Source organism: Homo sapiens, chromosome 14 (genome assembly GCF_000001405.40).
Source record: "Homo sapiens chromosome 14, GRCh38.p14 Primary Assembly".
Lineage (NCBI taxonomy): Eukaryota > Metazoa > Chordata > Mammalia > Primates > Hominidae > Homo > Homo sapiens.
Window position 1 is genome coordinate 56538487 of NC_000014.9, and position 24003 is coordinate 56562489.

Sequence of the window (24003 nt, forward strand, 5' to 3'; positions counted from 1 at the left end):
AGACATTTGGAAGAATTTTATTCCAACCCTCCTGGAGACTTTGAGGGATTCCAGACTTCAGTGAGGGAAGTAACTGCAGATGTGGTAGAAATAGCAAGAGAATTAGAAGTAGAGCCTGAAGATGTGGCTGAATTGCTGCAATCTCATAATCAAACTTGAATGAATGAGAAGTTGCTTGTTATGGATGAGCAAAGAAAGTGGTTTCTTTACATGAAATCTACTCCTGGTGAAGGTGCTGTGAGCATTGTTGAAATGACAACAAAGGATTTAGAGTATTACATCAACTTAATTGCATCAACATAAAGCAGCAGCAGGGTTTGAGAGGATTGACTCCAATTTTGAAAGAAGTTCTACTGTGGGTAAAATGCTATCAAACACTATTACATGCCACAGAGAAATTTTTCATGAAAGGAAGCGTCAATCGATGTAGCTAACTTCATTCTTGTCTTATTTTGAGAAATTGCCATAGCCACCCTACCTTTAGCAACCACCACCCTGATCAGTCATCAGCCATCAACATCAAGGCAAGACCCTCCAATGGAAAAGACTATGACTTGCTGAAGGTTTAGATGATTGTTAGTTTCTTGTATCAATATTTTAAAATTATGTACATTTTTAGACATAATGCTATTGCATACTTAATATACTGCAGTATAGTATAAAAATAACTTTTATATGCATTAGGAAATGAAAAATTTGTGCAACTTCCTTTATTGCAATATTTGCTTTACTGTGGTAGTTTGGATCCAAACTCACAGTTATTTCTGAGGTGTGCCTGTATCTCAATTTGGACTGGTCATTACTCGCCAGACTTTCTAACTTTTTCCCCTATATAACTTCTCATCCTGCTGACCTGATTAATTTCATATTATGCTCAATATTTTGAAATGTTTGTTTTCCCCAGCCTATCCAATTATCACTCTTTTTATATCTTTCAGTTTAATAAGCAGTTATTATTTAGTGGCTACTATAAGACAAAGAGAATATTTCCTGCCGCTAAGCTGTGTACACATTTGGTGAAGAGAGCCGCAGTCCGAACAATGGGCTTCTTCTTTTCTGTTCTACTACAGTTTACATGCACCTCTCTTACAGCAGTTGTTAGGCTTCCTGCACTTAGGGAATAGCCATGGAGACAGCACTGCTTCCACTTACAGAAGAGACTTTTGTCTGTACACTAGTGTTAAGTAGGATTTTATATAATAAGGGTTTAAATTGGAAGGGATCCCAGAAGGTGTGATGGTTAATTTTATGTACCAACTTGACTAGACCACAGGATCACAGGATGCCCAGATATTTGGTCAGATATTATTCTGGGTGTTTCTATGAGGGTGTTTTTGGATGAGATTAACATTTAAATCAGTAGACTGAGTAAAGCAGGTTGCCTTCTCCAATGTGGGTGGACCTCATCCAAACAGCTGAAGGCCAGAATAGACAAAAAGGCTGACCCTCCCCTGAGTAAGAGATAACTTTTCCTTCCTGAATGCCTTTGAACTGAGAAATTGGCTTTTTTTCTGCCTTTGGACTAAAAATATTGGCTCTTCCTGAGTTTTGAGCCTCCTGGCCTTTGAACCGGAACTACAATGTCAGCTCTCCTGGGTCTCCAACCTGCTGACTCACCCTGCCTCCATAATGGCATGAACTAATTCCATATATAAGCTATGTATGCACACACATTCACACACACAGGGTTTGAATAGGCTGTGAATAAGGTTTGGAATACGGTCTGAATATAGAACAAGGTTCTGTTTCTCTGGAGAACCCTAATATAGAAGGCTTTTCACCCAACCTCCTCGCTTTAGAATTGACTCAGCTAAGGACCAGAGAGGCCAGTAACTTGCTCGAGCTTACACAGCCACTTGGGAATAAATCAGGATCAGAAATAGTTTCTCAAATTCTTACTTCAGCGCTCTTGCACACTGTGCCACTTGTGCACTGTATCACATTGGTGTGCACACACACACACACTCACACAGACATGCATGTACTTTTAAAACATGAAAACAACTTATTTAAATGAGAATTTTGCCTTTGTACCCAACAGAAAATAATATTTGAAACTCAAGTAAATTGTGGTGGAAAGTCCACTAGGATTCCATGGAGAGAATTCATTAGCTAGAGGATGCAAATAAGATTGGTGGTGAGAAGTTTGGAGAGACAGCAACAATAGTTTTCCAGTAAGAATGGAAAAAACTGCCTGAGGTTTTGGCTATGTCTGCAGATCTGGGTTAATGATTTTATGAGTAAGCCAATTCAAGATGGCAGGATTCTGTTTGGCCCATTTTCCTACTACAGTGCATTCCAACCCGGAAGTATCAGACCCTTTAGAAGCTCAAGTGTCTGGGCTAGAAAACAGCCACATTGGATTGAGCTGGAGGTCCAACAACAGGCTGAACAGAACAGAGGATGGACACAACTGCTGAGACAGCCTCTCATGGCTAAGGTGTGGTAAGAATAGTAATAGCCATTGAGTTAGATGGACGAGATAGTCTTCTAAGTCCTCTCCTTGAATTGACTCATTTAAGCCAACAATAACTCTACAAGGAGGTACTGTCATTATCCCCTTTTTACATGTGGCAAAACTGAAGTACAGAGAGATCAGTAAGTGGTGGGCCTGGGATCTAGAGCAGGTGATCTGGCTCCAGAGCCTCTGCCCTTAACACCATAGCACCCCTTACCTGCAGAAGCCTGGGTGGATTTCCTTGGAAAGCTCAGAAAGTCTTATGTTCTATTGAAATATCTGTGCTAAGAAAGGTTGTGACCTTCTAAACTGCTTCCTGGATGAGAATGAGGAAATTTGGGTCTAGCTCTGCCATTCATTAGGCACCTGGCCTTTGGCAAATCACATAACCTCCCTAGGCATCTGTGTCCTTCCTTATATATGAATTTACATTGTTAGGCTGATTCCTACAATCACATCTAGCTATGAAATTCTATCATCCTGATCATTGTGACATTATACTATTTACAAATGTTTTTTTATCATTATATATATTATTATTACAATCTTTTTCATTATATTCGGGAAATACCTTTAATGACGTATAGATGACTTACTAATTTGTGAGTAAAAATCTTCTGAAGGAATATGTCTTATCCCTTGAACAATATGTTAAATCATGCCTCTTCTAATATTTTCAAATGAGATCTGGAGAGAAAAAAGAGTAAGGGCTGAGCAATGCATTGTTAATTTCTAAGTATACATGGAAATATCATGAATGGGGAAATACATAATGCTTTGATTAATGGAGAGCCATTCATGCCATAGTTTATATTAGTAATTGCCCGGTAAGAACTCTATGGTTTATCTAGGCTGACTTGAGATGGGAATTTCAGATCCAGCTCTGGCACAAGCTAGACCTGTGATCTTGGGCAAATCCCCACGGCCTCCTTGTTGTCAGTATTTGAAGGAAGATGTTTGGGCCATCTGGTTTTCTTATGAGTATAATGATGCAGATGTGGGCAGGGCTTCCCTGGAAGAGCTCTGTTCCCAAGGCAATTCTGCCAGTGTGGACCCAAGTCAATTGCACCTGAAAGGAGGCCTCAATCTTGGCATCTTTGACAGGCTTCATAAGATACATTGCTAAAGGTGGAAATTTCCAAGTTACATCTAAATAATGTTCAGAAAATGGCAGAGGATATGACACCTCTTACCATCTCCCCAACTCCATGCATAGGGTTCAGCAGGAGAAGCTGCCCCAGGTATCATGCATGCTCAGCAGGTTGATGCTAGAGGACCACCCTTCAAAAGCTATTGTTTTCCCCCGAGTGTAATGGAAGGTTGTTGCCTCTGTGAGTAGCTCCCTTAGAAGCAGGACTGTCAGGAACTATTCCCAAGTCCCAGCAGAGCTGCTATAAGCTGTGCTTGGCCCTTTAGTATGAAGGCCACTTTAGGTTCTATCTGGTCCTGTCCCCCAAAACCTCATTTAATTCAGTCTCTTCAGTTCAATACAATTTGCCTCTGAGTGCACCATGTGGGGAGATGAGAGTTTCAGCCTCGGCTCTCTCACTCTCTAGACCTGTGATCCTAGGCAAATCTACTCCACCCACTCCTATCCATAGCCTAGGATCTGCTCTAGTATTTGTCATTAGTGCTCTATCAGAATTCCAGAACTCTGCCAGGCACAGTGGCTCACTCCTATAATCCCAGCACTTTGGGAGGCAAGGGCAGGAGGATGGCTTGAACCCAGGAGTTCGAGACCAGCCTGGGCACAGTAAGGAGACCACATCTCTACAAAAAGACTTTTCAAAATTAGCCTGGTGTGGTGGTGTGGGATTACAGTTCCAGCCACTCTGGAGGTTGAGGTGGGAGGCTTGCTTGAGCGCAGGAGTTCGAGGCTGCAATGAACCATGATTGTGCCACTGCATTCCAACCTGGGTAACAGCCCCATCTCAAAAAAAAAAAAAAAAAGGAAAATTAAAAAAAAGAATTCCAGAATTCCTAAGCTAATCTTTCTGTATTTTGCTGGTTGGGGAACTAGTCAATTAACTACTGTACAGGTAAATTCTATAATTCTACAGGTAAACACAGGCAACTGCTCATTTCCATGGCTGTCATGAGTGTGGCCCATGTGTATGTGTGTGTTTGTGTGTGTGCGTACATGCAGTTTCCAAAAGCTTTTTCCAAACTTGGATTTTGCAATTCTTAAACACCTATTCAGTTCTTCTCTGAAGATTCTGAGTGTTCTTTTTGTACCAGTATATTTGTACCACACCTACCAACCCGCAAATAGGCGCTAATCCCCCACAGTAATTAGCCCTAACCAATATTTAAGTGCTTAATTTTTTTCAAGTTCTGTTTGTTTTGCCCATCACACTAATTTATGGTTAGGTTATAATGATGGCAACCACGACCATTTAAACTGCTAAGAAATTCATAAGCTTTTAGGGACCTTATTTTGGGGAGGCAAAACCCCCCCTAAATTGTTGTTTATTTTATGATTATTTTTGTTTTAAAATTCTCCCAGGATTTTCTCTCCACACTTTACCTCATTCTAGGTATTTTAGGAATAACTAACAGTGAACTTGTCTGGGTAAAACTGCCCTGAGCTATTCTTTAAGTTAATTATCACTTCTTTTGCTTCTGTGAATGGCTGTTCAATGACACTGTCAGCAAGTGGAATGAACCAAATTACTTTAATTATGGAGTAATTGCACAGAGTGATGGTAATTAAATCTTGATCAGTTTAAGTGAGTGAATTAATTGCTCTAACTTGGAATGCACACCACAGCAAGAGGAGTTGTTTTGTAGTTTAATTAACACCATCCACTAAAGTCACATCATATTCTAAAATGTAGACAATTAATGAGTTTGATATTATTCTCACCTTTGCAAGAACTAGGACAGAATACATGCTGAGAAAGGTAGTGTACTAAGGGAATGATAGAAAACTTAATATTCTTGTCATTTGTATAGATATATTGGTTGCAATCTCTACTTTGCCTTCTGGAGAAATGTGCAAATAGAAATATTTCCATATAATTAGCTTCTGGCCCCATTTCATTTCAATATTCCCTGATCTGTGCAACAGTATACATTTCCAAATTTGTTAATGTTTTAAATTTCTACAGCCTGAATTTCACAGTGAATCTAACCACCATTTACTTCCTTTTTGTTTGGGAGAGTCCAGCCCTTATGAAGTTGTGCTTAGGGTCTTCATAAAATTTGATTATTTGTCAATCATTGTTTATTGGAAACAGATTTCCTTGCTTCTTCTATTACCCATTCCCTAGCACTGAGAAATGCTTTATGTTTTTATAGTAACTTTTCTGCTTCTATCTAGATCAGCAGTGTTCACTCCTGATGTTGCTTTAGAATCATCCATGGAGTTTTAAAAAATTGCCAGTACCTAGGCCTCACTCCAGAATTTAGAGGGGTGAAACCCAGGCGTGAGTATGTTTTTAAAACTCTTCAGGTGATTCTAGTATACATCACCAGTTGATAACCACTGATTGAGAAATTCCATCTGTCTCATCCCATTGACCCTTAGAGGAAGGTGGTATTATCACAGATTTCCAGATGGAGAGCACTCTGTGGTCAGGACAGAGTCTGAGGCTTGAGACCTAGACCTAATCCTCAGACAATCCTCCACTCCCTCTCTCTCTTAAGAGCCAATTTATCTAAATATTTCACCCACCACGCTCCAGAATAAATCAAGTTGGTAAGTCCTAGTTTATAAACTAGAGAAGCAAAGAAGCAAAAGAAATAAACATGGTTTATTTAGCAGTCTTAGGCATTGCCCTATTAAACTTCCAATAAGAAAAAGATATGTTTCTCTCTGCCCCAGGATCGTGATATGTGTGCAGTTGCTTTATTGTCAATGGGTAGTAATGATTGAGTAGAATTGATGGAGGGAAATGGCATTTGCCAGTTCTGCCAGATGTGAGTAATAAGTGAGCTTCTTAAGGTTGTACATTGTCAAAGGCAGGAGGAATTAGGTCTTCTCTGATTTCCACGTTCATATGCATTAAGCCTCTACACTATAGGCTCCAGCTCAGAGTTAACACGAGACAGTGGAAACTTGACCCAATTCTATGAGTAGATTCTTGGATGTATTCACATGTGAGTTAAAATGTGAATTGGGTTTTGAAAAATAAAATTTTTCTATGTGGAAAAAGGAAGAAAATGTCCTACAAACCAAAGGTACTTCTGTAGGACCAAAACATGTATGTCTGGGAAACTTACATGGTCTTGGTATGACTGGAGCATGCACTGTGGGGGAAAGATATTTTATTAAAGGCAATAGACCAAAACTGCCAATAATCCACTTCTAGGCTGAAAAGGTAAAAGTATTTAGCTTGTTGTATCAAGAGAGAATAAATGGCAGAAAGTTTGTGGAGCAGCTCAGTAAGATGGAGTTGGGAAGGCCTTATTATGGGACTTGTGCTTTTGCTGAGTGGTTCTAAGGTTTAAAAAAGTGCAGGCCCATTCTGGATTGAGCGCCATCAAGAACAGAGACAATTCAGTAATTGGGTATTTAATAATTTGATTTAGGAGATAGAATAATTAAAGTGGGGCTAGTGTCATCAATAGCAAAGTCTTTTGTGTTAGCTGGGAGAGGGGGAGGGTTGTAGTCACTTTTGTGGTTGCAGGGTATCCTTGTCTCTGCTGCTTCAGACAGGGTCATGGAGGGAACTTGTCTGATCCTTGTGCTGTGAGCGTAGTTTATGTTCAGCTGGGGCATCAATGCAGTTGCTTTTCACTTTCTCAAGGGATCAGGCCCTTGATTGCCATTTTGAGGAGCTAGGACTTAAACGTTGAAAAGTTTTGAGGAGTGAAAAAACAAAATTTCTGTTTTGGAAAGACCCCTCAGGTGGTATATGGAGGGTGGCTTTTAATATAAGATGAGATACAGATGGCCCCATAGGAACAGAAGAAAGAAAATGCTCTGGGCAGTGAGACTAGAGAGCAAAGGACTGAGAAGAGATGCTTTCAGGGAAGAAAAGAGAAAACTTGTGCTGCTTAACAATTCAAAGAGAAACAACAATACCAAGTTCCTTGAACAAATCATAGGAAGCCTCTTTATCTTCATGATTTAATTGCGGAAAATAGCATTTTAAAAAGTTTCCTTTTTCGCTGGGCGTGGTGGCTCACGCCTGTAATCCCAGCACTTTGGGAGGCCGAGGCGGGTGGATCACGAGGTCAGCAGATCAAGACCATCCTGGCTAACAGGGTGAAACCCCATCTCTACTAAAAATACAAAAAATTAGCCAGTCGTGGTGGTGGGCGCCTATAGTCCCAGCTACTCCAGAGGTTGAGGCAGGAGAATCACTTGAACCCTAGAGGAGGAGCTTGCAGTGAGCCAAGATCGTGCCACTGCACTCTTGCCTGGGCGACAGAGCGAGACTCAGTCTCAAAAAAGAAAAAAAGTTTCCTTTTTCTTGAAAAGTAAAACCCAGTGTTTACTAAGTTCCTGCATGGACAAATAGATTCTGGGGTCACCTAAAACTTGTAGCCTTGTGGCTTCAGCTCTGGTAATGCCCCTACAGTAGCCTTTTCCCACTTAGGTTGGAAAGAGTTTGCAATATGTTCATCCTGGCACAATTCAAAGGAAATACACCAAAGCAAAGAGACAGCTGGTTCAGGATTTTCTTTGGGAGATAAACTCTGTTTGTCCGGGACTGTGAGTCCTAAATCACCTGCCAGGAGCCTGAACAGCAGAGAGAGGGACAGGTGAGGAAATGGGTGAGGTCACTCTGCTTAGGCCTGATTCTCCAGCTCTCACTTCATCTGATTTTGCCCCGAAGGAAGACTAAATGGGCCATTCTGGAGAAACAAGAAATTAGTAGAATACAATAAAATACTGGAAATGAGGAGAAAAAAAAGGAGAAAACTTTGGTGTCAGGCAGGAAGTTTGCAGGATCTGGGCAGAGAGGAGAGGGAATGGTCCTACTTTTAAAAACAGGGTCCTAATTATATTATTTTCCTGATTTTTTTTTTTTAAATCCACAAGACTGTCATTTACTGATGTAAAAACGATGGATAGAGAAGACTCACATGATAGAAGGAAAAATGAACTGAACGGTGAAATCAGTAACAGCAAATCACATAGTATTATAACTACTAATGACCATAAGGAATTTTAGTTATCTGGGGGGGGAAAAGGATATGAAGAGAACCAAAAGTCTTTTCTTTTAGCCTTTTTTTGGGGGTGGGGGGAAGAATTGCCTCAAGTCGCTTAACTATAATCTGTGACAGCACATTTATGTAAATAGCTTTGAGCAGAGTGCTTCTCGACATTTACTTCTATCCCATTTAACATAAATGTTTTGAGGAACAGATATTGGTTTGAGAGCAACATTTTATAAAATTCAGATGACTTATTTACTTTTACAAGCCTATTCTGCAGATTAATTTTTCTAAAACTGTTTTTTTTTTAAGCCAAATGAAACCCTCAGAAAGTGAGGATTCTATTAGTTCATGACCTTATGTTTTAGTGGCAAAAAAGTGGCTTTGCAACCCATAAAATGTGTTAATGTAGGGATAGAAATCTTTATCCTTCCACTTATACTAGGTCCAATCAACAGAATGGATTGGGCCTAAATAATCTGACATTAGTATTAAAACAAATATTTAAAAACACATGTATCCATTACTGGTACATTATGTGTGGAGTTTAGTTCTTGGTATTAAGATACATCTTGACCCCAAAAATGTTCAGTAGAAACCATCACTATATGTGAAGTTAGGCAGGGAATATAGATTATGATTTATATCCGTTTTTCAATTAGTAGCAGAGAAAAGATTTGATGGCCATTTACAAATTGATTAGCAAGACAGCAGATTAAAAAGACGGTACCTTGTGGCATTCTTTGCCTTATTGTCTTTGCCTGTGACTGGCTGCAGTGTTGAAGGACATGTGCCATAAGCAAACCGCGCATCAATTTTCAGATTTCACAAGTAAGCAAAGCTGGCACTAGCACAAAAGGCATGCCAAAGCCTCCAAAAACCATAAGCCAGTTCAGTGATCAACAAGGTGGAAGTGGCATTACCTATGGCTATATGGTTAATTTTAATTGTTTTCCAAAAATACAGTTTTACTTATTTCAAAATATATTTCACGTTCCATTCAAATGCCCAGGTTTTCCAGCACCTAATATATTAATTACCCAATAACTCAGCGGTCTCCAGCCTTTTCGGCACCAGGGACCAGTTTAGTGGAAGACAATATTTTCATAGGCTGAGGGGTCGGGGGGATGGTTTTGGGATGAAACTGTTTGGCATCAGATCATAGGCATCAGTTAGATTCTCATAAGGAGCACATAGCCTAGATCCCTCGCATGTGCAGTTCACAACAGGATTCATGCTCTTAAGAGAATCTAATGCCACTGTTGAAATGACCCCGAGGTGGAGCTCAGGTGGTAATGCTCCCTCACGTGCTGCTCATGTCCCTCTGTGCGGCCCAGTTCCTAACAGGCCAAGGACCAGTACAGGTCCATGGCCAGGGAATTGAGGACCCCTGCGATAACTCATTTCTTTAGCACATATCAGTTTGAGCACCTGCCATTTGTTTTCATTCTGTCAAACCCCATGGGAGTCTATACATAGATGCATAATACATGGCCCCTGCCCTCATGGAGCTTACACTTTACATGAAGAATCATTAAACATTAAATGGTGGTCTGTTAAGAAGATAACACTAAGTCAATAACCAAAGGCACAGTAAATTGCTTAAGTGTCAAATAAGTGGAATAGCTGGTATAAGTGCTCTCAGCTCATGTCAAGCAGGAAATCACTGTTGGGTTGGAGTTGTCAGTTGAAGCTTTATGAGAAAATAGGTAGCAAGCTGGTTCATGAAAGATGAATTGGGGCAGAGGTATGCTGGTAAAAACCAGCTCCTGGGATGGGGAGCCTGATTTGTAGCATTTGTCAATGTCCACAAATACTCCCACCATGGCTGACTTAAAACTACCAATCAAACATTAATGAATGTGAAGTGGGATGCCCACACTTGGCACACATGAGCCAGTGCAAGCCAACTTCCACACCACTAAATGGAAGATTGACAAGCGATCAAGATTCATTCAGCTCAACAAGTATTTTGAAAAAGGAAAGAACTGTATGGTTTAAAGTTCTCTCAATAAGTAAAATAGCATTTTGCCTTACTTCCTTCTCCTCCCCAATTCCCTCAGCACAGTCCTAATTATAAACTGAATACCTTTGAAACCTACGTGAAGCACCTTTCCTATTAAAGGTGACAATGCTGACATAGCACCAGCACTGCCTTTAAGGTGCTTTTCTCTGGAGTACTGGCCTCGCCCTAATCTATTTACTTCATCTTTCTCAGCATCTCTTATGAACAGGACATACATTTCCAAGACAATGGGTCCAGACCAGAAGTGCAGGCTGTGCCCCCAGAACACATGGAAGTTGCATACAAACGCAGAATTAGACCACATTTAAAACGCGGTGGAACTTGGCTGATTTGCTCCCTCTTGGCCGTCCATTTGAAGTGTGCAGTGAGGACCCCAAGTCCTGATCTCATCATTCAAGAGATGTTAAAATGCCTGCGGTGAATCTGACTTTAATTTACCACGACTGCTAAAACAGAGGCTTTGGAAACGAAAGCAGTAGCAAGTCTCCCATGTGAGGCCAGAGCTCTCGAGGGGCATTTAGCAGCAGCAGATTTTACGTGTATGAATCCAAAAAAATTAATGTGTCTTAAATATTTCTAGCAACCTTCCAGGTTCCCAGTTCATGGCTCAGCAGGAGAAAGGCAAGGGGCTCGTTCATTCATTCATTCACTATAAAAGGATTAAAATAGACCTCGGTTTTTCTGGCTTCAACCCTTGCCTCCTTTTTCCTTTTTCTTTTTTCACCCCTGCCCCACCCCCTACTTTTTTTTGTTACCTCCCCTTCCGTGAACCCTGACTAACAGACAACCCACATGCTTATAAAAACAGCTCTTGAAAGAACAGTTCTGACAGTTACTGGAATGAGATTGCTCCAGTGCTCCCAAGCAGGAGGCATAAAAAACCCAGAGCAATCTCCAGCTGTTCCAAAGGCAGATTGTACAGCAGTTAGAGATACAGAAAATTGCAACCTCCACCAGACCACAAGGACAGGCCCCCACTCTTCTCAATCTTTGAGACCCCCAATACTGCTTCATCTTGGGGAGTTTCTAGGTCTTCAGATCTAGATTCCCATCAGTTGAATGAAGCCTTTAACCTGAGTTTGGATCACTTGAACTATTGATTTTTCCCTGACACAACGAATGTGTATTGACCATCTCCTCTTGCCAACTACTTATCCAGGTGCTTCGGGTATGTTGGGGCTCAGATAACAATATGCCAAAGTGAAAAACTCAGAAGCAGCCTCAGAAGCAAACATTTATCTCTGACCTTCTCCTGCTCTCTTATCCCTCAGTTCCTTTCTCCCGCAAGGCAGGTCATAGAAACCAGAACCCCCTTTCCCCAAAGCCAGCCATAAAACCTAAAAAAGCCTTACTCTAACTTTCCCTCTGCCTTTCTATGTAAAAACTGGCCATAAAGAAATTATCTGACTTACCTTGTTTAGGTCATTAGGCTGCCATTCCAGAGAAGGAGGAAATGCATTCTCAGAGAAGCCAAGAAGAATCTAAACAGGCCTTGCTGGGCTTCCCAGCTCAGTCTATAGCTAGCATTAGATGTTACCCTTTCTGCCCAATCATATTTCGACACAATTGTCCAGACTTTGTTGAACCTAAGCATAAAAATGGACAGTTCCTCTGTTATCCTTGAGTCTTCATTCTGAAGGCTCCTGTGTATACACATTAAAGAAATTTGCATGCCTTTTCTCTAGTCTGCCTTTTGTGAGTTGATTTTTCCACAAACTTTCAGAGGGCCAAAGGGAAAGCTCTCTCTTGGCCCCCACAGCTCTATCAGTGAGCAGAGTAAAGAAAAGACTTCCTGCTCTCATGCAGTCTACAACCTGGCCATCCACAAAACCACGGGCTGCCTGCTTTTGGTTGGGACAGTGGTTTTATGTAGGGGAGCCATAAACGTAATGATTGAAGTAGAATTCTAAGTTTCTAGACCCACTGCCCATTCCCCAAATATTGTTTATGACCATAATCCTCTCTCTGACTTCCTATTTTCATTCTAAATTGGAATAAATGACTTGGTCTTTGCCAAACACTGCGTGTTTCAGAAAGGACTTCCAAAAGGACTTTCCAGAAAGTACCAGACTCTTAGGAATCGCATGAGGTGGGAGATTAAAAATACATTCTTAATTTATTTGATAGGAGCAATGGGAGGTCAAATAGCTTACTGATTTCTCTATGTCTAAGTCACCAACTCATTGTGTTTGCTGAGAATTACTAAACCAATAAATGAAGTACTACCGGAATGGTCTTTTATTGTCTAGAATTTCTGGTGTATGGTGATAATAAAAAGCGAACTGACTTTTAGTTAGTTTTGTTTTTAAATTCTCTCCAGACAATGTACCTCTATTTTGCCTGCACCCTGATCTGACATTCCCAACCTTTCCCCTCCCTTGGGACACCACAGCTCTTATTTCAAATATTTTCTTAGATCTATCTCATCTAGAAAGTCTCTTCTGACAAATCCATGCCAAGCTGACTCCCAATATCTGTTTCTTCTGCGTTTTTCTGTAGCTGTTATACTCTATATCTTTATAGCCCTTATTTAAATGCAGTGCTAAATGTGTTTAACTATTCCTTCCTATAAATCATGTTTCTCCTCAAACAGAATTTAATGAGGGCATAACTGGGTCTGGCATCCATCACCTACCAAATGACAGAAATTGTTCATCAATTGGTAGTGGATGAAGGTGTGGGTGGTAAGTGCAAACCAGTACCTCGCAAAGGCCCTGCTCCCCTCACTGTAGGAAAGCGTATCAATGCCCCAGCCTGGGCCCAGGTTGTGCTCCTTGCAGAGACTCAGCTACATCTAGCAATGTCTAATGACCTAGTGCAGCAGCCCACCAAGTGTCTCCTAAGAGGAAGTGGGGAGTCAGGCCAGTGAGCGTAATCTGGCAGCAACATTTCAGGAATAATGGGCAGAATGATTCTGAGTACGGGGTGGGCACTTAGGCTTGGGTTAGAGGGAAAAAAAGGAAGGATGTAAAAGCTCAGCGAAACTTCAGGGCCCCAGTTGTACTGCTGGGGACCTCTGTAACGAGTCTCACAAAAGGTTGGGACTCTGCCCCCCTTTGCCACAAATTCTTATGCAGCTTCCACAGCATGGTCTCCAGACAATGACAGGAGCCCTGTGCAGAAGCAATATGATGAGAAAAAATAGCATCAGGAAGGGATTGTAGTGTCTGACAAAGGCAGTGCCTGTCAGGGATGGTCAAGCCCAGCAGGTGCCACCTGTTAATTGTAAAACCATAATATTTATTAAAAACATAACTTTGCTCCCCGCACTAAGCTAGTGTACTTTACGCATGTTATTTTAATTGTTCACCATCCTATGAGATAGTTTCATCTCATGGATACGGTGTTATAGAATCAGCATGGTAACTGACTGGATTTGTTCAAGAACACACAAGGCACACCCCAGGAAACAGACACACTTGTGGGGTGAGCTGGCCAGGAACTGAATATCAGATGAGTGTTTCCGGTGGCTGTTTTATTCATGTGACCCCATTCAATTTCACAGATTGGTGAACCCCTGGAAAATGTGGGTGGTAATAATAAAGTAATCATACTGGGTTAAGGAGAAGGTAGATAAACACAAATCACAAATAACACAAAGTAATCTATGCTCAAATATCCGGAGGGATGGCACTGTCCTGACAACCCCAGGATAGCTCTGTAACTAGGAGGAAACTGATTAGCACTGATTGCTAGCAGATTGCTGTCCCCTGCAGGGCGAGAAGAGAGAAGACACGCCTTGGGGATGTGCATGAGGGTGGGAAGCTTCTCACCATCCTCCCTCTCTCCCTGCCATCCTTAGGGGAGGCTAATTAGCTGGTGCCTATTCCTAAGCCCCAAAGAAGTGACTGCTCCTTCACTACACTTAGGTCAGTGGTCTCAACTTCAGCTACTGGGTGTTAGAACCACCTGGGGGTTTTAAGAGCGTCCCCATTCACCCTTTCAGAGATATATAATGTACTCGGTCTGAGGTATGGCCTGGGGGCATCAGGAATTTTTAAAGGTCCCCCAGCTGTTTCTGATGTGCAGTTGCTAAGGTTGAAAACACCTGGGTTACAGCAAGCCCTGATACAGGAGAATTGATTGCACTTACATTTATTGAGCAACTATTATCCCCAGCCATTGTGTTGGGTGCTTTATACAGATCCTTTATAACCCTTAAAATCAACTTGCAAGTGGCTATGATCATCTTAAGGTTGAGTCAAGGTCACAGACAGTGCATTCCATTTGCCAGTCCCTAAACCCAATCTTTTTCTGCTAAATCTGTTTCCTCTTCTGGAAGGACAATACCGTCATTCCAAACACCGAAAGAGAGATAAAAAGAGATCACAGACTGTCTTCTCAGACACTCTTTGTTAAAGATATCTGTGAAGAATTGTGAAGAGAGGCTCTATGACACCTTTTCCACAAAGATTGCATAATTGCCATTGAACCTGCCTCCTTCCTCGCAGTTTTGCTGCCCATACCTCCAGAAAGGGTCTGTCTCTGTTACCTGCTACTTCCTTTTTCTCATCCTTATAATAGCACTCATTCCTAGTGCTATGCTAGGTGCTAAAGGATATAGCAGAGATGGGGTACACAGTGCTTGTCTTCAGGAAAATCCTGACTTCGGTGATTGAGTGACAAGTATTAAATGAAACTACTTTGGAATAGTAATATAGAGAAGGAGGCTAATCACGTGAAAAGGCCGTGAATTGCTCTAACTCCTTATTTAAAATGTGGACCTTAGACCAGCTGCACCAACATCATGTTAGAACTTATTAGAAATGCAGACTCTCAGGCCCCGTCCAGACCTACTGATTCAGAATCTGCATCTTCAACGATCCCTGTGTGATGCATTTGTACATTAATGTTTGAGAAGTCATGGTCATGAGCTGTAGCAGCATTACTTTGGTCCCATTTATTTGCAGTAGGAACACCTGTTTTATCCTTTCTTTCTTTTTTTTTTTTTTTTGAGAACTAGAACCGCCCCCCCCTCCCCCACAACACACACACTTTTTTTAAGGGCATAGTTGCAATTCTCCCTGCCCTTCTTAAAGCACAGAAAACCAAGATGAGCAGAGAACTGGGATCTTGTTCATAACTAAGTCTTTTGTAAGGCTTCCTTATATGGCCCCAGGTGCCCTGGCACAGCTGCTGATATTTAGTTACATTCTGCACCAGCAATTCTAGCATTTGGGAATGAAATTCATTTTTCTCTCTCTGGATTATGAAGGCCCGGGGCAAAGGAGGTGAAGAAAGCGGCACTCGGAGGAAATCTGTATTGGAAGTATCAGGTGTGGCAGTGAAGTCAGAAGCATTTTCATTTTAGGTTCTGGCCTTTTATTTAGGCCTTGGCAATCTATCCCTTTAAATGGAGATGGGAGAATTTCTTTAATAAGGCCACAAAGAAAGATTTGTAGTTCTAAATGGCTCAACATTTGACTCACAAGCCCTCATATTGAGTTACACCCTAAATAGGGTTTGTGTTCTGTTTGCAATAATTACTCTTGGAAACGTTCAGTGAAGTCTTCTCGATCATGATCTTCAAACACTTGTAATATTAATTGTTCCATTTAATAAGGAAATCGCAGCCCCATTTAACCTTACGTCAGTGTATGATTTTCATTTAGTCAAGTAATGAAGTGAATAGGTTCTTCAGATCCTGGATCTCTTTAATGAAACTGTTCTGCAACTTGTTTTATCATTAAGAATAAAGACCCACCTTTGCTATTGAACATAGCCAGAAACAAAACCTACTCAAAGGGAGGAATGAATTTGCACAGACTGGGAAACTCTGGAGTTCAAAGAATGTGGGTGACTTTGAAACAAACTGTGTTGATTCTTGCAAAGTTGCAGAATTATGCAATATAATGTTTGCATTTGGAAGAATTAATTATGATCCCAAGTCATGGGTTAGAAATATAATTAAACTGATTAGTGTCATAGGATAAAAATAAAAAGCGAGGTTGTGACAGCTTCCCGTGTCCCCCTTTCCCCTCCCCCAGAAAGGCTCTTAAAGGAACTTTTAAAACATAAGCCTTTGTTCCCTCGATCTACGGTGCCCAGGTCAGGCGGACCCTGCGGCGTGGCTGAAATATTTCAAACAGTCACTCACAAATGTGTCATTTGACCTGCTGTTCTTCCAAAGAGGTATGAAAAATATGTTTCTTGCTGAGATAACTTGAAATCAAATAAACATAATCTCTTTAATTCTTTCTAAATAGTTCCATATTTTAAATCTAAACACAATAGAACACAAAGCTTCTGGTTTTAAAAAAAGTTTTTTTATTTTTTATGTGTGTGGTGATGTTGGATTTTTCTTCCTTTTAGTTCATGTTAGTTTGAATGTAAGAGTATAATTTACATTTAAAACCGTGGGAATATATTTCCCTCAGTTTGGAGACACACACAGCATATGGCAATGAGTTTACTTGGTTAAATGTATAAGTTTGCTTTTATGAGTGCTATCTTTAACAAGGACAGATGTTCTTACTTATATTAACCATCACTTGACAGACCAGAGGAGTCTTCACCATGGCTTGCAACAAATTGAACAATATTTTCTTATGTAAAATTGGTTCTGGTCCATTGTTTTGATTTATTCGAAATAATGGCACTCACTCAAGTTTGTAATAACACTGTCACGGCTGAAGGGAGTTTGCTTTAGGTATTATATCTATTATCTGCTCCCTCTCCTTTCTTTAAACAGAATCTCTAAGGGGAAAGTCTAAATGTGGCTCAGATTTAAGAAGAAGAAGAAGAAAAAAAAAAACCCAAAAGCTTCGCTAAAACCTCACGGTGTAGGATGTTATTTTAGATTGTTTTAAGATTTTTAATAATTCTTGTTTGTTTGCCTTTGGCTTTGAGCATTGGATAAAACAGAACTTGCCTTATTCTTAGGGGAGAATTACATGGCGTGGAGTTGTCACACAGTGCTCCATCCATTTTCTTTGCTGTTTTATGAGGCAATCCTACCTAACCTTTTGCCCAAACAAGAAGTATTTACCTAGTACTCCCCAGCAGTGGATACAGATAGCAGTTTGGAAGTGTTTGCTTTTCTTCACCACCACTAGAGTATGCTCTAGTGCCATAAGATCTGCATGTTTTTTTCTTTAGATTGTTGGCAAGGTGGATGATGAAATCCCTAGAAAAAACAAAACAAAAAAACACCTTTCCATCTAATTATAGAAGTGTCCCTTTAATTGTCTTAGTAAGACTGGATTATGTTCGCCAATTTGATTAAGGTAGAACTGAAGACAACTTCAACATTCACGCATGTCAATATTTTGGGTGAGTTTATATTTTGTATTTGAAGTTGTTCTACTCAGCTCCAGTGCGGTGGTGAGAAATACTATGTCCCTTCCATCCACAAGCTACATTTTCTGGCAATAACTCTTTCACTTATAAGCATCACTGTGGGCCCAGCACATGAATGTGTGGTGAGGTTACTTGGGCAGAATTAACACCTTCGAAGACAGAAAGGTGTCTGCAAGCCAGGATGGATGTGTCTCCCATTTTTGTTCATCTCCACCATCTTTAAAAAACCAAAACAAACAAACAAAAAAACCTAATCGCTATCTACGTGGCAGACCTTCATCAATAGCAATACATTCTCTAGAATTAGAAGGCTTAGCTTGAGGGTCTGCTGCCCTCGTCTCAAATCCCTGGCAGAAGCCCCTGCACTTGATCTTGGGTGCCCGGGGTAGTGGTAAGAGCACAGTGCAGGATCCCCGTGGTGGCTGGCTATGCTGGAGAACTGCTCTGTGTTCATCACTGTGATTCCAGCACATTTGAGCAGCGCCTCTTCCTTCATCCCTCTATTAGAACATCTTCATTCTTATCTTCCATCTTCCTTTCTCCCTAGGAGAGGGCAGGTCATTGAGATTCTCTCTTAGTACTGTGGCCCTTCAGTTCCTTTTATGCCTCTGGTGACCTAACGTCCTTTTGCTCCTGGACATTTAAACAGCTTCAAACCCCAGATAACTTCCTCCTCAGGTACATTAATCATAATTTCTCCAGCAAAGGCTAAATCAAGGTCCTTATAGCTGGGACTGTTTGTCTCCCTGGATGTCTAAGACTCCTGCTCAGGGTCCAGTGACTACCACCTCTGGGTCTTTCATTCTCCTTCTGACCAGAGAAGGTTGCCCAAGACTGCTTTCCCAAAACTATGTGACTGGGTCTGCCTGGACAGATGGAGGCCCAGCTAAGAGGGAAGCTTTGTGTGCCAACTTGAACAGGTTGGCTCCAGAGGGACCGCAGTCCAGAGAGCCATCTGAGATGGCCCAGACTGCCACACTTCCTTTGCCTCTAGATGGGTTAAAGGGACCCCTGTAGATGTCAAGTACCACCTGCGTGGTACTTGATGATCCTCTATTCCTGTGAACATCAAGTTAGATTCAGAGTCGATGGCGTTCCAGCTTCCTTTTCAGATGGTGGTGAATGCTCTTCAGTTGAAGCTGTCTCTTGCACAACGGGGACACAAAGAGGTATCTTGGGAGATTTAGAAACACCCCTTCCAGTAATCTCCACCCAGCCCCTTTCAAAGCCACCCCAAATAAAAGTAGAATCTAAACAAAAGCAGTGCACCTGCTATGCAGGTACAACTTGAAGCCAAGTCATGTAACGAGCGGCCCTTCCAAGTTCTAACAACAGCCCCATCCCTACGGACATCAAGTCATCATTCTTCTGGTGTGGAGACCCCACGCTGACTCCTGAACAAATCCTTAAGACTTCTGTTCCAGAGACTTAGGAGAGCTAGCCCCTACTGGGCTCTAAGCCTCTGGGGATAAATGAGCACAATCTGCCCTATTCCTTATCCTGGGGTTCTGTCAGGACCAGGAGCCCCCAGAGTGCCAGGTTCTATGGACCTCAGAAACCTCTGAGAATACCCATGAAGATGGCTTATGTGGTTAACAAAGCTCCCGCACTGACTCTCACTGGCCCTGAGTCTCCTCCTACTCTCTTGAAGTTTCTTCTGCCTCTGTGCTTGTGTGACTTGCAGACATCTTTGGGCAGCAAAAGCAAAAGCATACCCAGCAATCTTCTTCTTCTTACCTGGGCAGCAGCATAAAACTATGCATAGAAAAAGCACAGGCTCCAAATTCCTCCACTTGTTAGTGGTGTGATCTAGGAGGATTATGCAAACTTTCTGTGCCTCAGTTTTCTTTTTTGAAAAAGGAAGGTAACATGTGACACCAGGCTTAGTGTGGCATACTGCCATCCCCAAAGTGAAAATCAGTGCTATCAACTGAGGCAGAGAATTCGTCAAGCTAAGTGCATTAACTGATCCATTCATCTGAAGTTGGTTTACTCAATCATATTTGACAAAATCTCCTTTAAGTAGGAAGTATTATATTATTCCTTCATGGATTGATATCACTTATCAAACAAGCTGTAATTCAAATGGCAAATGTTTGACAGACTTGAAAAGAAAAAAAAATTCTGAGGTTTGCAAAAGCATAAATATGTTTTCATACCATGCTATTGAATTTTCCCCACCAAACATGTCATAATATATTGAGTTTTTTTGGTCATTACAATTATTTAACTGACATTTATTAAATGTACTGTGGGAAAAGTTGGAGGTATAAAAATGAAAAAAAAAAGTTCCAATATATAAGCTACTCATATCCCACCTGGGGATACAGCCACACACCTAGGAGCTGAAAAGACAGTTTGTCAAATAGAATTTGTGCATAATTATGGTTGCTCATAGTTTATGACGATGAATGCTATTTGATACTCCTATATCAAAATACAAATGCATTTATATTTGGGAGTATTTTCCCCCAAGCAACTTTACCCGTTGAATATAGTGACAGGAATGTGTATTATAGAAAGAACTTTGGACTAAAACCCAGTTTCAGTTCTGCCATCAACCAGCTGTGTGGCTCGGGTGAGATGCTTAACCTCCCTGGTGTCAGCTTCCTTACCTGTTAAATGAAGAGTTGTTGCATGTTCTCACAAGTGGGAGCTGAACATTGAACACACATAAATGTGGGAACAACAAACACTGTGGATTACTAGAGGGTGGAGGCTGGGGTGGGTTAAAAAACTATGTACTGGGTACTACGCTCACTCCCCGGGCGATAGAATCAGTACTCCAAACCTCAGCATCACGCAATATTCCCATGTAACAAATCTGCATATGTACCCCCGTATCTAAAATAAAAGTCGAAACTTTAAAAAGCCCGAAGGGCTGTACCTTTAGATCAGTGGGACCCAGACCAAGCTAATCAAGACCTGGGAAGCTCTAGAAATGTTCAGCTATTCAGGCTCTATCTGGAACTACTAATTAGCATTGACAAGGGTAAGCCCAGGAATGGGCAGTTTTGAAAAGCTCCACCAGATGTTTCTGATAATAAGCCATGTTTCAGAAATATTAATACTGCATTAGAAGGCTGGGCGTGGTGGCTCATGCATGTAATCCCAGCATTTTGGGAGGCTGAGGTGGGCAGATCACTTGAGGTCAGGAGTTCAAGACCAGTCTGGCCACATGGTGAAACCCCATCTCTACTAAAAATACAAAAATTAGCCAGGTCTGGTGGCGTACACCTGTAATCCAAACTACTCGGGAAGCTGAGGCAGGAGAATCACTTGAGCCCAGGAGGTGGAGGCTGCAGTGAGCTGAGATCACACCACTGCACTCCAGCCTGGAAGACAAAGCGAGACTCTATCTCAAAAAAAAAAAAAAAAAAAAAGAAAGAAAGAAAAGAAATACCACGTTAGAAAACTGGCTACAGTTGGTCTTTCATTGGCATGGCTCTCTTCGTACTCTATTTAAAGAAATACCTCAAGAAGAATCTCTCAAATTCAACTCATCTCCACCATCACCCTCCTTGCTCCTTGCTGACTGATTTTGGGACACGTTGCTTTGCACCTGCAGCGTTGGCCACACACCTCTGCTCCTCCTGTGTCCTTGGGGCCCTCGTCCACTGGGAGTCCCACACTGTTCTGACTGCTTGCGTTCTGCCCCTGTAGCTCACTAATTCCTATGTCTGAAGCCACTTACGGGGATAAATCCAGTTCCTCCCACCCCAACCCCACCCCCACCACCCCTCTTATGCACATACTCAGGCTCTGGAGCCAATCCTAGCCCGAGACAAGGACACTTAAAAAACTAACTCCAGGACTCATATCAAATCAAGTGATACAGATGAGATAGCATCCTATCATAATTGGTATGTGGGCCCTGAGATGAAATTCCTGGGTTTGGATTCCTGCTCTGCTGCTCGTTGGCTATGTGACTTGGCTATGTCAGCTAACCTGTCTGTGGTTCCCTTTTCCCATCTGTAAATGGGAATACAATATTTTTCTATCTTTTTTTTTTTTTTTGAGACAGAGTTTTACTCTTGTTGCCCATCCTGGAATACAGTGGCATGATCTCAGCTCACTGCAACCTCTGCCTCCCCGGTTCAAGCGATTCTCCTGCCTCAGCCTCTCAGGTAGCTGGGATTATAGGCACTCACCACCACACCTGGCTACTTTTTGTATTTTTAGTAGAGATGGTGTTTCACCATGTTGGCCAGGCTGGTCTCGAACTCCTGACCTCATGTGATCCACCTGCCTCGGCCTCCCAAAGTGCTAGGATTACAGGTGTGAGCCACTGCGCCCAGCCAATATTTTTCTATATTAAAGGGTTACTGCGAATGTAAAATGAGATCATGTGTAACAGCTAAGATTTTTGAGTGCTTACTTTGCGGCGGGCATTTTTCTAAGCATTGTGGGTCTATTCACTCATTTCACTGGTGGAGATAGGTCTCAGACCCAGGCAGCCTCAGAATTCTTGGTCTCATCCACTATACTATAATTTATGTGATGTGTTTGATGAAGTACTTAGCATTAGTAGGAATGCAATAAATATTAATCTACAGAAAATCTGCCATGCGTTCATCCTGATTCTGATTCACTTTTTATTTAGGACACAGAATCTGGACTATTGCTTTATATGTTGTGACTATTCTTTTATCCTACAGTCCAATTATTGGTGGACTCTGCAGTGTTCTCTGAGACTCCAACTTACTACATTCTCCAGTCACCCATTTCCCTCAGGACCTGGGTTCCTCCTGTTTCAGCCATCTTCTAAGAGATCCTAGGGGATGGGCACAGTAGCTCATGCCTGTAATCCCAGAACTTTGGGACACTGAGGCGGGCGGATCACAAGCTCAGGAGTTTGAGACCAGCCTGGCCAATATGGTGAAACCCTGTCTCTACTAAAAATGCAAAAATTAGGCGGGTGTGGTGGCACGCACCTGTAGTCCCAGCTACTTGGGAGGCTAAGGCAGGAGAATTGCTTGAGAATCACTTGAACCCAGAGGGTGGAGGTTGCAGTGAGCTAAGATGGCACCATTGCACTCCAGCCTGGGTGACAGAGCAAGACTCTGTCTCAAAAAAAAAAAAAAAAGAGATCCCTCACGTGAGGCCTTGCTGACCCCTGTGTCTTTAACCCTGGCAATCTTTGTGTTCTGGCTTCTGTCATCACCATGAGAAGGACATGATCATGCTAATTTAATGGAAGATGAGAGATACATAGAAGAGAATTCAGTCACCCCAGTCCTCCCAGCCAAGGTCATCCTATCCCAGCTGGGAGCTAGCCAGCTGACCCTCAGACAGGCAAGCAAGTTTAGCCAAGATCAGCAAAGTCACCTTGCCAATTTCCCCAGATGCATGAGCAGTAATAAACCCTTATTATTGCATGCCGTTGAGGTTTTGTGGTGTTTTGTTACATAGCGTTATTGAAGCAATAGATCCATAAATGTTAAGTAATGGCACATGGATGCAATCAATGAAAACCAGAATGTGGGAAATTGTCCAGGATAAATAATGTAGTTTCTTCTCTTGTCCTGTATATTCTCTCATCCCTGTATTCTGGAGGAAGAAATGTTATAGATTAAAGAAGACTTAAGAGACATATGAGCCAAAGGCAATGTCTGCATCTTTTTTTTTTTTTTTTTTTTTTTTTTTTGCAACAGGATCTTGCTCTGTCACGAAGGCTGGTGTGTAGTGGTGTGATCGTGACTCACTGCAGCCTCAACCTACCGAACTCAAGCAATCCTTCCATCTCAGCTTCCCAAGTAGCTGGGACCACAGGCTTGCACCACCACGCCTGGCTAATTTTTAAAAAATTTTTTGTAGAGACAGGGTCTCCTTATTGTGCCCAGGTTTGTCGTGAACTCCTGGACTCAAATGATCCTCCTACCTTGGCCTCCCGAAGTTCTGGGATTACAGGTGTGAGCCACCACACCCTGCCGATGTCTGCAGCTTATATGAACTTTAATGCAAACAAAACTGCTATAAAAATATTTATGAAATAATCAGGGAAATTTAACACTAACAGCTTAGTAATATTAAAAAATTACTAATTTGGCCAGGCGCGGTGGCTCATGCCTATAATCCCAGCACTTTGGGAGGCTGAGGCGGGCAGATCATG

General features: G+C 41.7%; 1 long non-coding RNA gene across 1 annotated transcript in view, besides 2 other annotated features; it reads left to right on the forward strand.

Moving 5' to 3' along the window:
* Positions 1-12823, forward strand: part of LOC101927690 (uncharacterized) — a 36979-nt gene extending 24156 nt beyond the window's left edge. The window contains exon 2 of the long non-coding RNA NR_135241.1: positions 10785-12823. This is a non-coding gene — a long non-coding RNA (uncharacterized LOC101927690). The remainder of the gene's footprint in view (positions 1-10784) is intronic.
* Positions 16282-16451: an enhancer, noted in NCBI's record as "experimental_34318 CRE fragment used in MPRA reporter constructs". NCBI's record gives its function as "activates a minimal promoter by MPRAs in K562 erythroleukemia cells, with activity observed for the introgressed 14:57021571 variant allele {active_cell/tissue: K562}" and the evidence as "EXISTENCE:reporter gene assay evidence [ECO:0000049][PMID:34662402]".
* Positions 23052-23243: a silencer, noted in NCBI's record as "fragment chr14:57028256-57028447 (GRCh37/hg19 assembly coordinates)". NCBI's record gives its function as "represses an EF-1alpha promoter that drives an FKBP-Casp9 reporter gene in an ReSE screen in HepG2 liver carcinoma cells {active_cell/tissue: HepG2}" and the evidence as "EXISTENCE:reporter gene assay evidence [ECO:0000049][PMID:32094911]".